General features: G+C 38.9%; 1 protein-coding gene across 4 annotated transcripts in view; it reads right to left on the reverse strand.

The window, feature by feature from the left end:
• Positions 1-14,505, reverse strand: part of LRP2 (LDL receptor related protein 2) — a 235,426-nt gene that overhangs the window by 120,146 nt on the left and 100,775 nt on the right. For all 4 annotated transcript variants that reach the window (XM_011511183.4, NM_004525.3, XM_047444340.1 and 1 more), the window contains 4 exons: positions 11,771-11,963; positions 9,870-9,995; positions 8,852-8,982; positions 124-261 (listed from right to left, as the gene is read on the reverse strand). In XM_011511183.4, coding sequence (XP_011509485.1) covers positions 124-261; positions 8,852-8,982; positions 9,870-9,995; positions 11,771-11,963 — 588 coding nt within the window. The remainder of the gene's footprint in view (positions 1-123; positions 262-8,851; positions 8,983-9,869; positions 9,996-11,770; positions 11,964-14,505) is intronic.

The raw sequence follows: 14,505 nt of genomic DNA on the forward strand, positions 1-14,505 counted from the left end.
AAGAATATAAAACTACCAGGAGCTAGACCTTTAAGTAATAAGTACTTAAAGAGAACAGGAGCCACTGTAACAAATAAATAAACCCATACAAAAAAATAAAAAAAACTGGGCAATCTCACTCACCAGTCTGGATGTTGACATCATACGATTTCAAATGCAGTATGTAAGCAATGCCACTTCGGATAACTGTCATTTCTCCACCATCTGCTTTCCTGACTCGAATAATGGCACCCAGTCTCCAGTCAGTAAAAAATAAATGCTCTGAAAAGAAACATGGGTAGATTAGTATTTTCAGTCACAGCTAACTTATAAATAAATCACTTGAGAAAATGCAATAGGCTTGAAATGCTTCTTGCAAGTACGATCATCTCCCCCATAAATATCTGTAATATGTTTCTCTAACCATTTTCCACGACTTGTTACTCCCTAGTAATGCTCTGTGGAAGTCTGTATGTTAATAATATCAGGGTTCAGGTTCAGGCAAGCACATATGGAGTTTTATGATGGCATTTAGTAGCAATTGGATTTAGTTCTGCATAGGTAATAGTGAAAATAAGAATTGGGGAATTCTTCTACAGAGCATTAAATGAGGCCTCATAGGTCTGCACCCGCTAAAGCACTCACCTGCTGAGTGCTCTTAGGCAAATACTACGCTGTGTGAAGGAGACAGTCTGAATCATTCCTGAGATCCTTCCCAGGTCAAACAGTTCATATTCTATGTTTTAATGACAGCGCTTAAATTGTAATTTTTTTCCCTTGACTTAAATAAGAAGCTGTTGAGAAGGAAAAGTACAGGTCTAGCCCAAAAAAGGAACTTTCAGTGTATGTTTGAGGATCAATAAAAATCTCAACACAAGTGTGGATTCACCTACAACCACACTACTAATGTTAGAATGATGCTCACAATGGTAAGAGAGAGGCGACATAAGATTCTAAACAACAAAAATTTAATCATGTTCACTTTACACTAACTATTGCAGCAGGAAAATAAACATATATTTTTAAAAGAAAGAATTGCATCAATGTGGATTTTCTCTTTAATGATAGTTTAACTAGAAAACCCTAATTAATCAGAAAATGTTTAAGATGTCATAAATTTTATTTGACCAATTTCCTTATCTGTGGTCTAATCAATGACCAATCAGTCATTGGACTCCCTAAATCTTTCTAGAGCCTGGCAATCCCAGTCCCACTACTAACAAAGGCATCCTCATATACTTAAATAAGTAAGGAGTTCAATAAATCTTTTAGTTCTGTGTGGTGCACAATCAAGAAGATCTAGCCCTTTAGTAAAAAGGTACACAATTTCTATGGTGTTGCACAACAAAAGAACTTTCCAAAAGAAATTCACAAAAAACAGCAATGTTGAGGGGAGGAGCCAAGATGGCCGAATAGGAACAGCTCCGGTCTACAGCTCCCAGCGTGAGCGACGCAGAAGACGGTGATTTCTGCATTTCCATCTGAGGTACCGGGTTCATCTCACTAGGGAGTGCCAGACAGTGGGCGCAGGCCAGTGTGTGTGCGCACCGTGCGCGAGCCGAAGCAGAGCGAGGCATTGCCTCACCTGGGAAGCGCAAGGGGTCAGGGAGTTCCCTTTCCGAGTCAAAGAAAGGGGTGACGGTCGCACCTGGAAAATCGGGTCACTCCCACCCGAATATTGCGCTTTTCAGACCGGCTTAAGAAACGGCGCACCACGAGACTATATCCCACACCTGGCTCGGAGGGTCCTACGCCCACGGAATCTCGCTGATTGCTAGCACAGCAGTCTGAGATCAAACTGCAAGGCGGCAACGAGGCTGGGGGAGGGGCGCCCGCCATTGCCCAGGCTTGCTTAGGTAAACAAAGCAGCCGGGAAGCTCGAACTGGGTGGAGCCCACCACAGCTCAAGGAGGCCTGCCTGCCTCTGTAGGCTCCACCTCTGGGGGCAGGGCACAGACAAACAAAAAGACAGCAGTAACCTCTGCAGACTTAAGTGTCCCTGTCTGACAGCTTTGAAGAGAGCAGTGGTTCTCCCAGCACGCAGCTGGAGATCTGAGAACGGGCAGACAGACTGCCTCCTCAAGTGGGTCCCTGACTCCTGACCCCCGAGCAGCCTAACTGGGAGGCACCCCCCAGCAGGGGCACACTGACACCTCACACGGCAGGGTATTCCAACAGACCTGCAGCTGAGGGTCCTGTCTGTTAGAAGGAAAACTAACAACCAGAAAGGACATCTACACCGAAAACCCATCTGTACATCACCATCATCAAAGACCAAAAGTAGATAAAACCACAAAGATGGGGAAAAAACAGAACAGAAAAACTGGAAACTCTAAAACGCAGAGCGCCTCTCCTCCTCCAAAGGAACGCAGTTCCTCACCAGGAACAGAACAAAGCTGGATGGAGAATGATTTTGACGAGCTGAGAGAAGAAGGCTTCAGACGATCAAATTACTCTGAGCTACGGGAGGACATTCAAACCAAAGGCAAAGAAGTTGAAAACTTTGAAAAAAATTTAGAAGAATGTATAACTAGAATAACCAATACAGAGAAGTGCTTAAAGGAGCTGATGGAGCTGAAAACCAAGGCTCGAGAACTACGTGAAGAATGCAGAAGCCTCAGGAGCCGATGTGATCAACTGGAAGTAAGGGTATCAGCAATGGAAGATGAAATGAATGAAATGAAGCGAGAAGGGAAGTTTAGAGAAAAAAGAATAAAAAGAAATGAGCAAAGCCTCCAAGAAATATGGGACTATGTGAAAAGACCAAATCTACGTCTGATTGGTGTACCTGAAAGTGATGTGGAGAATGGAACCAAGTTGGAAAACACTCTGCAGGATATTATCCAGGAGAACTTCCCCAATCTAGCAAGGCAGGCCAACGTTCAGATTCAGGAAATACAGAGAACGCCACAAAGATACTCCTCGAGAAGAGCAACTCCAAGACACATAATTGTCAGATTCACCAAAGTTGAAATGAAGGAAAAAATGTTAAGGGCAGCCAGAGAGAAAGGTCGGGTTACCCTCAAAGGAAAGCCCATCAGACTAACAGCGGATCTCTTGGCAGAAACCCTACAAGCCAGAAGAGAGTGGGGGCCAATATTCAACATTCTTAAAGAAAAGAATTTTCAACCCAGAATTTCATATCCAGCCAAACTAAGCTTCATAAGTGAAGGAGAAATAAAATACTTTATAGACAAGCAAATGTTGAGAGATTTTGTCACCACCAGGCCTGCCCTAAAAGAGCTCCTGAAGGAAGCACTAAACATGGAAAGGAACAACCGGTACCAGCCGCTGCAAAATCATGCCAAAATGTAAAGACCATCGAGACTAGGAAGAAACTGCATCAACTAATGAGCAAAATCACCAGCTAACATCATAATGACAGGATCAAATTCACACATAACAATATTAACTTTAAATATAAATGGACTAAATTCTGCAATTAAAAGACACAGACTGGCAAGTTGGATAAAGAGTCAAGACCCATCAGTGTGCTGTATTCAGGAAACCCATCTCACGTGCAGAGACACACATAGGCTCAAAATAAAAGGATGGAGGAAGATCTACCAAGCCAATGGAAAACAAAAAAAGGCAGGGGTTGCAATCCTAGTCTCTGATAAAACAGACTTTAAACCAACAAAGATCAAAAGAGACAAAGAAGGCCATTACATAATGGTAAAGGGATCAATTCAACAAGAGGAGCTAACTATCCTAAATATTTATGCACCCAATACAGGAGCACCCAGATTCATAAAGCAAGTCCTCAGTGACCTACAAAGAGTCTTAGACTCCCACACATTAATAATGGGAGACTTTAACACCCCACTGTCAACATTAGACAGATCAACGAGACAGAAAGTCAACAAGGATACCCAGGAATTGAACTCAGCTCTGCACCAAGCAGACCTAATAGACATCTACAGAACTCTCCACCCCAAATCAACAGAATATACATTTTTTTCAGCACCACACCACACCTGTTCCAAAATTGACCACATAGTTGGAAGTAAAGCTCTCCTCAGCAAATGTAAAAGAACAGAAATTATAACAAACTATCTCTCAGACCACAGTGCAATCAAACTAGAACTCAGGATTAAGAATCTCACTCAAAGCCGCTCAACTACATGGAAACTGAACAACCTGCTCCTGAATGACTACTGGGTACATAACGAAATGAAGGCAGAAATAAAGATGTTCTTTGAAACCAACGAGAACAAAGACACCACATACCAGAATCTCTGGGACGCATTCAAAGCAGTGTGTAGAGGGAAATTTATAGCACTAAATGCCTACAAGAGAAAGCAGGAAAGATCCAAAATTGACACCCTAACATCACAATTAAAAGAACTAGAAAAGCAAGAGCAAACACATTCAAAAGCTAGCAGAAGGCAAGAAATAACTAAAATCAGAGCAGAACTGAAGGAAATAGAGGCACAAAAAACCCTTCAAAAAATCAATGAATCCAGGAGCTGGTTTTTTGAAAGGATCAACAAAATTGATAGACCGCTAGCAAGACTAATAAAGAAAGAAGAGAGAAGAATCAAATAGACACAATAAAAAATGATAAAGGGGATATCACCACCGATCCCACAGAAATACAAACTACCATCAGAGAATACTACAAACACCTCTTCGCAAATAAACTAGAAAATCTAGAAGAAATGGATACATTCCTCGACACATACACTCTCCCAAGACTAAACCAGGAAGAAGTTGAATCTCTGAATAGACCAATAACAGGCTCTGAAATTGTGGCAATAATCAATAGTTTACCAACCAAAAAGAGTCCAGGACCAGATGGATTCACAGCCGAATTCTACCAGAGGTACATGGAGGAACTGGTACCATTCCTTCTGAAACTATTCCAATCAATAGAAAAAGAGGGAATCCTCCCTAACTCATTTTATGAGGCCAGCATCATTCTGATACCAAAGCCGGGCAGAGACACAACCAAAAAAGAGAATTTTAGACCAATATCCTTGATGAACATTGATGCAAAAATCCTCAATAAAATACTGGCAAACCGAATCCAGCAGCAAATCAAAAAGCTTATCCACCATGATCAAGTGGGCTTCATCCCTGGGATGCAAGGCTGGTTCAATATACGCAAATCAATAAATGTAATCCAGCATATAAACAGAGCCAAAGACAAAAACCACATGATTATCTCAATAGATGCAGAAAAAGCCTTTGACAAAATTCAACAACCCTTCATGCTAAAAACTCTCAATAAATTAGGTATTGATGGGACGTATTTCAAAATAATAAGAGCTATCTATGACAAACCCACAGCCAATATCATACTGAATGGGCAAAAACTGGAAGCATTCCCTTTGAAAACCGGCACAAGACAGGGATGCCCTCTCTCACCGCTCCTATTCAACATAGTGTTGGAAGTTCTGGCCAGGGCAATCAGGCAGGAGAAGGAAATAAAGGGTATTCAATTAGGAAAAGAGGAAGTCAAATTGTCCCTGTTTGCAGACGACATGATTGTTTATCTAGAAAACCCCATCGTCTCAGCCCAAAATCTCCTTAAGCTGATAAGCAACTTCAGCAAAGTCTCAGGATACAAAATCAATGTACAAAAATCACAAGCATTCTTATACACCAACAACAGACAAACAGAGAGCCAAATCATGGGTGAACTCCCATTCACAATTGCTTCAAAGAGAATAAAATACCTAGGAATCCAACTTACAAGGGATGTGAAGGACCTCTTCAAGGAGAACTACAAACCACTGCTCAAGGAAATAAAAGAGGAGACAAACAAATGGAAGAACATTCCATGCTCATGGGTAGGAAGAATCAATATCGTGAAAATGGCCATACTGCCCAAGGTAATTTACAGATTCAATGCCATCCCCATCAAGCTACCAATGACTTTCTTCACAGAATTGGAAAAAACTACTTTAAAGTTCATATGGAACCAAAAAAGAGCCCGCATTGCCAAGTCAATCCTAAGCCAAAAGAACAAAGCTGGAGGCATCACACTACCTGACTTCAAACTATACTACAAGGCTACAGTAACCAAAACAGCATGGTACTGGTACCAAAACAGAGATATAGATCAATGGAACAGAACAGAGCCCTCAGAAATAATGCCGCATATCTACAACTATCTGATCTTTGACAAACCTGAGAAAAACAAGCAATGGGGAAAGGATTCCCTATTTAATAAATGGTGCTGGGAAAACTGGCTAGCCATATGTAGAAAGCTGAAACTGGATCCCTTCCTTACACCTTATACAAAAATCAATTCAAGATGGATTAAAGATTTAAACGTTAAACCTAAAACCATAAAAACCCTAGAAGAAAACCTAGGCATTACCATTCAGGACATAGGCGTGGGCAAGGACTTCATGTCCAAAACACCAAAAGCAATGGCAACAAAAGACAAAATTGACAAATGGGATCTAATTAAACTAAAGAGCTTCTGCACAGCAAAAGAAACTACCATCAGAGTGAACAGGCAACCTACAACATGGGAGAAAATTTTCGCAACCTACTCATCTGACAAAGGGCTAATATCCAGAATCTACAATGAACTCAAACAAATTTACAAGAAAAAAACAAACAACCCCATCAAAAAGTGGGTGAAGGACATGAACAGACACTTCTCAAAAGAAGACATTTATGCAGCCAAAAAACACATGAAGAAATGCTCATCATCACTGGCCATCAGAGAAATGCAAATCAAAACCACTATGAGATATCATCTCACACCAGTTAGAATGGCAATCATTAAAAAGTCAGGAAACAACAGGTGCTGGAGAGGATGTGGAGAAATAGGAACACTTTTACACTGTTGGTGGGACTGTAAACTAGTTCAACCATTGTGGAAGTCAGTGTGGCGATTCCTCAGGGATCTAGAACTAGAAATACCATTTGACCCAGCCATCCCATTACTGGGTATATACCCAAATGAGTATAAATCATGCTGCTATAAAGACACATGCACACGTATGTTTATTGTGGCACTATTCACAATAGCAAAGACTTGGAACCAACCCAAATGTCCAACAATGATAGACTGGATTAAGAAAACGTGGCACATATACACCATGGAATACTATGCAGCCATAAAAAATGATGAGTTCATATCCTTTGTAGAGACATGGATGAAATTGGAAACCATCATTCTCAGTAAACTATCGCAAGAACAAAAAACCAAACACTGCATATTCTCACTCATAGGTGGGAATTGAACAATGAGATCACATGGACACAGGAAGGGGAATATCACACTCTGGGGACTGTGGTGGGGTCGGGGGAGGGGGGAGGGATAGCATTGGGAGATATACCTAATGCTAGATGACACATTAGTGGGTGCAGCGCACCAGCATGGCACATGTATACATATGTAACTAACCTGCACAATGTGCACATGTACCCTAAAACTTAGAGTATAATAAAAAAAAAAAAAAACAGCAATGTTGAAAGAAATAAATAATTATTGCTATTTTGGGAATGTTGTGTTGTCCTCATGGGTATGCATTCAAATTTTTTTCATACTGATGAAACCAAAAGATACTAAAACTACATTTTCTCGAATCCCAAAACATCCCAGCCCAGAGCAGAGAAAATTCAACTTTTTATAATGTTTCTATGTGACAGCAAATAGCATGTGTCTGACATCATTAGTGAAAAGGGAGTAAATGGATGGCAGCGGCGGGAGGGGGACGGGAGGAGTATTTATAATTAACTCATCAAAAATCTCATGAGCATTTTTTAAATACCACACACTCCTCCACAGATAAACAGACAGCAGGACAAGATATGCAATATACTTACTAACTATTCATTCCACACATACATTCTATGCATGTGAGAAAGTCTTTGATTTATAGTGAGTGTCTAGTCTTTTCAAGCACTGTGTTAATTATTCAAAGTAGGAGGTTTCAACCAGGGACACAACTAGCATATACACAGGGCTTTTGGTAGACTTAAACAAAACATGACCCCTCTAACTGGAGTAATCATGGTTTGTCAAACAGACCCAGGATAGATTTCAGTGTCTCCTCACCCTCTTGGCCTGGCATTTTTATGCAGTGCACAAGCTATACAACCATTCACAGAGCTCCTGTTTTCAAGACTAAGCAAACCACCTGTTTCATGGTACCAGGCTACATTCTTATTCCCAGAAACTCAACTCACAGCAGCATGCCTGCACTCAAATGGGGAGCTGAGAAGACAGGCAAGCACTGGCTGTGCTCATTGTGACTGTAGTTCCCCAGAATTCATGCTTCTCAGCAATCTTCACTAGTAGCATGAAATTATTTGGAAAGGTTGACGAAAAAAAATTATGTCTTGCTGTTCTTCATAAAGCATAACCTAACACTTCCATAAAACAAAGACGATGTCAGTTCTCCAACATTTTGAATAAAAAAGTTTCAAAGTCATTCAGTCAGCATATAGTTGATGAATATGTGTAATCGTTTTTTCCACAAGGATTTCTAATGAGATTCTTACAAACACTGGAGAATAATGAAATGCTACAATGATTACTATAAACAGCTCTTGCTGTTTTATTCTTGAAAATGAAGGCAGTAATTTACTGTTTCCTCACGTGATACTTGTATAACTAAGTACTTGGGATGTTGAATTGTATAATACATGTAATCTACAAAGTGCTGTACCCATATACACTGTCAACATTATACGAATATATACAAAACAAAAATCACACTCTAAAAATGAAATACACCATCAACAAACCAAATGTTTTGTCTAAATATATAGCACCATTTTAAATTTTTTCATTTTAAAGTGGCCAGCTTTTCTGGGATTGTGAAAATGCCACATGAGGATGAGTTTACTATTGTAACTTGCAATGTATAAAAACAATACATACTTTTATTGCTTTAAAACATACCTCCAAAGATGGCAAGTCCAAACGGATGTGTCATCTGCTCTATATGGCCCAGTCTTCTTCTGTCTAAACCATCAAAGGTGCTGTGCTCAATTTTATCAAAATAGGCATCTACCCAGTACAATCGTGAAGCACTAAAATAATAAAATATTTAGTTATCTCTTATCCAAAAACTATCAGAGCACCCTTTACACAAAGGGCATCCAAAAACAGTAGGGTCAGTTGACACATTTATTAAACAAAGTTTTTAAAATTTAAATTATATTCATTAAAAATTTAACAGTTTTATGTCCCCCAGAAAGAGACGGCTACTTTTCATGAAGTGGCTTTCAATCAATTGTCTTAGAAAACTTAAAATGTTGCTATCTTTGAGCCAGAAATTTTATTTTCTCCTTGTGAAATCAACAAGTTAAGAAAAACAGTGGTAGTAATCTATGTTTAAAAGGTGAAATATATTTCTTCCCTTTTTTTCTCCCATAAGTTACCTTGGCATTTCATCTTTATAAGCTTATTTACTCTATTCCTTTTCCTATATTCCTAGATAGATCATCAATTTCTTGAGAACCATAGCTTATACTTTTAAAGTCCTCCCAAAGTGCATGTAAGCAAAGGTGCATTTGTTGATTAATTGACTCCAAAGATTTCCTAAACTCAAGATGTTCCCTGTAAGAAATTACACACTGCCTACAGTTCAACAAATCTGTACCCTACTTTAAATGCTGCTTGGGACCCACCTCCCCCATCTTGAGTTTCCACTAAATCTTGTCATTCAGCTTTCTCTAGCAATTTTCTCAGAATACTCATGAATTTATTAGTTTTCACCCCAGCAGTAGCTGGCCAACTATGTTTATGTCCTTTGTGTTCTTGTTCAATATCCTTCTCCCATCACCAATTAATTATTTAAAATTCCGCGAGGGCAAGCAGTACCAGTTTCCTTACACCATCATATCACCCAACCTGCCTCATTATGTGTTCTGCAGTAAAAGAGAACTAAGTATCGGGGATGATGATTCCTACTTACGCCCAATCGATGGCCAAGCCATTGGGCCATCCAAGAGTAGTGTTTATTACAGGCAAGAGGTGAGATCCGTCACTCCATGCTCTCATAATTTTAGCAGGACGGAACCAATCAGTGAAGAATAGATACCTAGAAAAAGCAGTAGTAAATTAAGGCTGTTAACACTGGGACAAACTACATGACTTCCAGAGATTTAGAACAAACAGAGATTCTCCAGATACTGCAATTAATTTTGTTTTCTTTATATGCTATTGAACTTAACATACTTAGTGTATAACTCATGTAATTCTCAGTTAAAATTTAGTTAACATGTAACCAAAGTCACAAATACAAATGGCATTTAAATGGGCATTGAGAGAAGAGAACCACTGTCTCAGAGTTTAGGAACTAAAACTATTGTCGCCTAACATATTCTCTAACAAGACACAATTCAGGTTACCTATTAAATATTCCACGTTATTAAAATAAAATAATAAACAACGAACAGAGCAAGAAAACATTTCAATCTCTTTCTCTCTAGATTAAACATTCAGGATCCTCTAGTCATTCTTCCATAAGGAATTGATAAATTTGCAGGAAACCATTCATCTCAGATGAAGAAAGCATCCAAATCAATGCAATGCAAACAGTATCTGACCCAAGCATTTTTTTAATATTCTAAAGAGTGGGAAAAAGATAAGTCTAGAGGCAAAAAAAAACAAAAACAAAAAAAAAAAACACAAAAAAAACAAAAGAAAATAAAAAAACAACTTTTTCTCTTTTATGGGATCCAGAGGAATCAAAATTATTCTTTTCCAAAATGTAACTTTCTGAAATGTAACTACTTCATATCATTTTAAACAAAAGAGTCATCAGGAAAGGAATTCAACAGTTTTTCAAAACCAAAGGCCAAAAGTTTGAGTTAAGACAAATTCATTAAAAAACTAAACTGTTTAACTCTCTATAGGGCAATGAAATTTCTTATCAATAATAACATCAGTTTTAAAATGTGTTTCTTTTATTATCTTACAGAGAGGAAATTAAAGCAGATACTCTAGATGCAGCAAACAGACTTTTTTAGGCACACAGGCATTCCAGTCAGACAGGTCTGGAATTTGAATACTGACTGTTGCCTAATAGCTGCGGGCCCTTTCACAAGTCACTTTATCTCACTGCGCCTTAGATTCATTCTCTCTAAAATGGGTATTTACACATACCTCCTTCACAAACTAGCTTTGGAAGCTGATGAGATTATATATCTAACGGAAGAACAGGTATGGATGTTCCCTGGGTAATCAGGCATTGGTGGGTTAGCAGCCATCTTTTTTATCATTCCACTCATATACAACACATAGCTCAGATTTGTTCTAAATAAACACAGTAGCTGTTAAACATATTTAAATAAGAAAAGTAGGAACCAAAAAGGAATACTGTGAACTCTTCTGTCTTTCCTTGTCTGGCACCACCAATTATAGAATGGTAAAACATGAAACTTTGTGGTCTGAAAAACTTTTTATTCTGAAAACTACTGAATGATTAAGCAAGTTTTGCTAAGCTTTATATAAATATATTAAAGCAGGGAAAGAATTTGGGTCTTTCCTGTTAATTCTGTTGCCTATTCACTCCTTTTCTACTGAATCTATATCACATTGTTTGGTCCTCTGCAACTGTGAAAAAAACTACTCTTCAGTGAAGACTGAGAAAGCCAAAAGTTAGAAGAAATGTTTTGGGTTTAAAAACAATTTTTTTTACTCCCCCAGAATAAAGTTTTTTGGAGGAAAAAAGAAATAAAATTTAAGGTGATTTCAACTTATACAGTTCAATCTTATATTTGCTGAACTTACCTAAATCCCTAGGGCATCACTTTTCAATGACTGTAAAAGACATACAGTTTCAAGCTCTTAGGAAAACATGAACACACTTACCCGGCAAAAGGATGAACTACCACCGACCGTGGGTTATTTAAATACTGAACTACTGTGCGTCTCGTTTTATCAGCTAGCCTCATGACACTGATACTCTTGTAATGAGAGTCTGTCCAATAGAGATTCTTTGAAATCCAATCAAAAGCCAAACTTTCAACATTTTCCACCCTGTTAGCTGCGAGAATTTCTCTTCCTATAAGTTAAAATATGGACATATTTTAAGCTAAGTATATTTTGTAAGGCATCAATTTTCCTACTAATGCACACTGAAATTTTGTGTCAGAGTTAGAGCATATTTCAGGAACACATGTGGAATTCTTTAAAAAAAAAAAAAAAAAAAAACTCTGTAAGCTGCTGAGCAATAACATGAGACAAACCTAGAATCTATCCATTCCTCAAACTTTGGATCTCAAAGAGTAGATATGATACTGACAAACAGAACCAGGAATGGTATGGCCTGGATTTACTCCCATGTCCAACCTTCCAGAAAAAAATTTCTCACTGTAGAATATCTGAAGAAGAGATACCTGAGTTCACCTACTACCACCCGGAGACGGCTCTGATAAGCTGACACCACCAGGTACGACCTGAGGGTAACCCTGAGGTATCATCGCCCAACCCTCTCATCAACAGTCTTCCACAGCCACAAAGTTGCCAAGTTTTGAAAACACCAGCAGAGATACCAGAAAGGAAATCAGAACTGATTAAAAACAACAACAACAAAAAAAAAAAAACGCTTTCCTCTTTATGGAGTTATTATGCTTTCTTTTACCCTCTTTTTTCTTTTTTTCACTAAAGAAAATCTGAATCAGAATAAACAGCCATACCTCTTTCTTTTGCAGTAGGAAGAAAAAATCCTACTACTTTTTCTCTTCATTTATTCAGCAAATTGTGAAAAGAAAGTTCTCTATGTGATAGAAAGCCAACTATATATTTAGAAAACACAATATTGTTAGTAGTGTTAATAATCACAGCTTAGATTAAATGAGCACTTACTAGGTGGCAGAAACTGGACCAAGTATTCTACATGGATTCATCCATCCTCACAGCCACTCAATCAAGTAGGCATTAGTATCGTTCCTATTCTACAGATGAGAGAACCAAGTCAAAGAGAAGTTAAGCATCTGGAAAGAAGTGTGGACACCACCCTCAAGGTAATTCATAGTGAGGTGGTGAAAGAGGAGGAGGCAACTAGGCCAAGAGACAAAAATAAAAGAGTAATGAGTGCTGAGATGGAGAGATGCATAGGATGGTCTGAGAGCACAGATTCCTAATGGGCCACATGGCAAAGCAGAGGTCTGGGGTGGTTGACAGACACAGAGACTGAAAACTCTACATGTTCTAGGAGTGTGGCTGGAGGTTAATGAGTTAATGATAGAGGCTAAAAGAGAGGGAGATGTTCATGATGACCACCAGGTGGGGATGGGGCACCAAGGAAGGGGTGAGTGGTCATGCCCTTCCTCTAAGGCCTGTGAGAAGTTGGATGAAGCATCCACTTAGACATGTTGGTTTAGAGGTGATTGTAGGATATCCAGGTGACGTATCCAAAAGGCAGCTGGCACTATGGGTCTGAACCTCAGAGAGAGAACTTGCATAGAGATTTTTATCATGACCTACAGAAAGGCTTGCTTGGTCTTTCCCTCATTCCCCAGTTTAGGAGGAAAAACACTCAGTAAATGCACTATTATAAAAGTCTCCCCATAATTATTTATAGTTGCTACATAGATAGTAATCAAAGGCAGGAAAGGTGTGAAATTATTCAGAGAGAGGAGGACCAATGTTGAACAACAGATTTACAGTTTTTTATAGAACAGGAGAAAAAGAAAAGATCTCCAGGGTACACTAGAAAAAAAAAAATGATCAAGAAATAGAAGGAAATCCAGGAGTATGCTGTCATGGAAGAAAGAATATTTGAGAGAAGATGGCTGAAGTACCAAATACAGGACTGATAGGCATTATTTAATTTAGCAAGAAAGGGATTAGAGGTGACCAGGATGAGAGGGGTGTCAGCCACCTGGTGGGCAGATTGCAAGAGGTGAGTAATCAGTGAGAAATGTGGAAGAAGGGATAGGAAAGTGCAAAACAACCTTTCAAGAAACTTGACCATGAAATGCAGAGAAGGGGTTATCACTAAAGAGGAACATGGAGTGAAGGGTAAGTTGCATATTTTTTAGGATGGGAGAAACTTGAGCATATCTGATGATAGGGAAAAGTCAGTAGAAAAAGAGAATTTGGAAAAAAGAAGGTATCATTGAAGGAGGGAGTTCTCCTGAGGGCTTCATTCAGCTAATCCTGACTTTTAATATGATTTCTTTTTCTTTTTCTTTAGAGACAGGTCTTACCTAGGCTGGAGTGCAGTGGCACAGTCATAGCCCACTGCAGCCTCAAACACCTGACCTCAAGTGATCCTCCCAAGTATCTGGCACTACACCACACCACCACATTAGCTAATTTGATTTCTGACAACTCATTTCCTGCATATACTGTGTACTCATTCAAAAAAAAAAAAAAGAACAATGTAATGCCTCCCTCAACAAAGCATACAGAGTTTAACCACTGACTATGAGGAATATTTTAAAAGGTAGGTTGCCAAAAAGAGTCCAGGACCAGATGGATTCACAGCCGAATTCTACCAGAGGTACAAGGAGGAACTGGTACCATTCCTTCTGAAATGATTCCAATCAATAGAAAAAGAGGGAATCCTCCCTAACTCATTTTATGAGGCCAGCATCATC

This window comes from Homo sapiens, chromosome 2 (genome assembly GCF_000001405.40).
Source record: "Homo sapiens chromosome 2, GRCh38.p14 Primary Assembly".
In the NCBI taxonomy this organism is placed as follows: domain Eukaryota; kingdom Metazoa; phylum Chordata; class Mammalia; order Primates; family Hominidae; genus Homo; species Homo sapiens.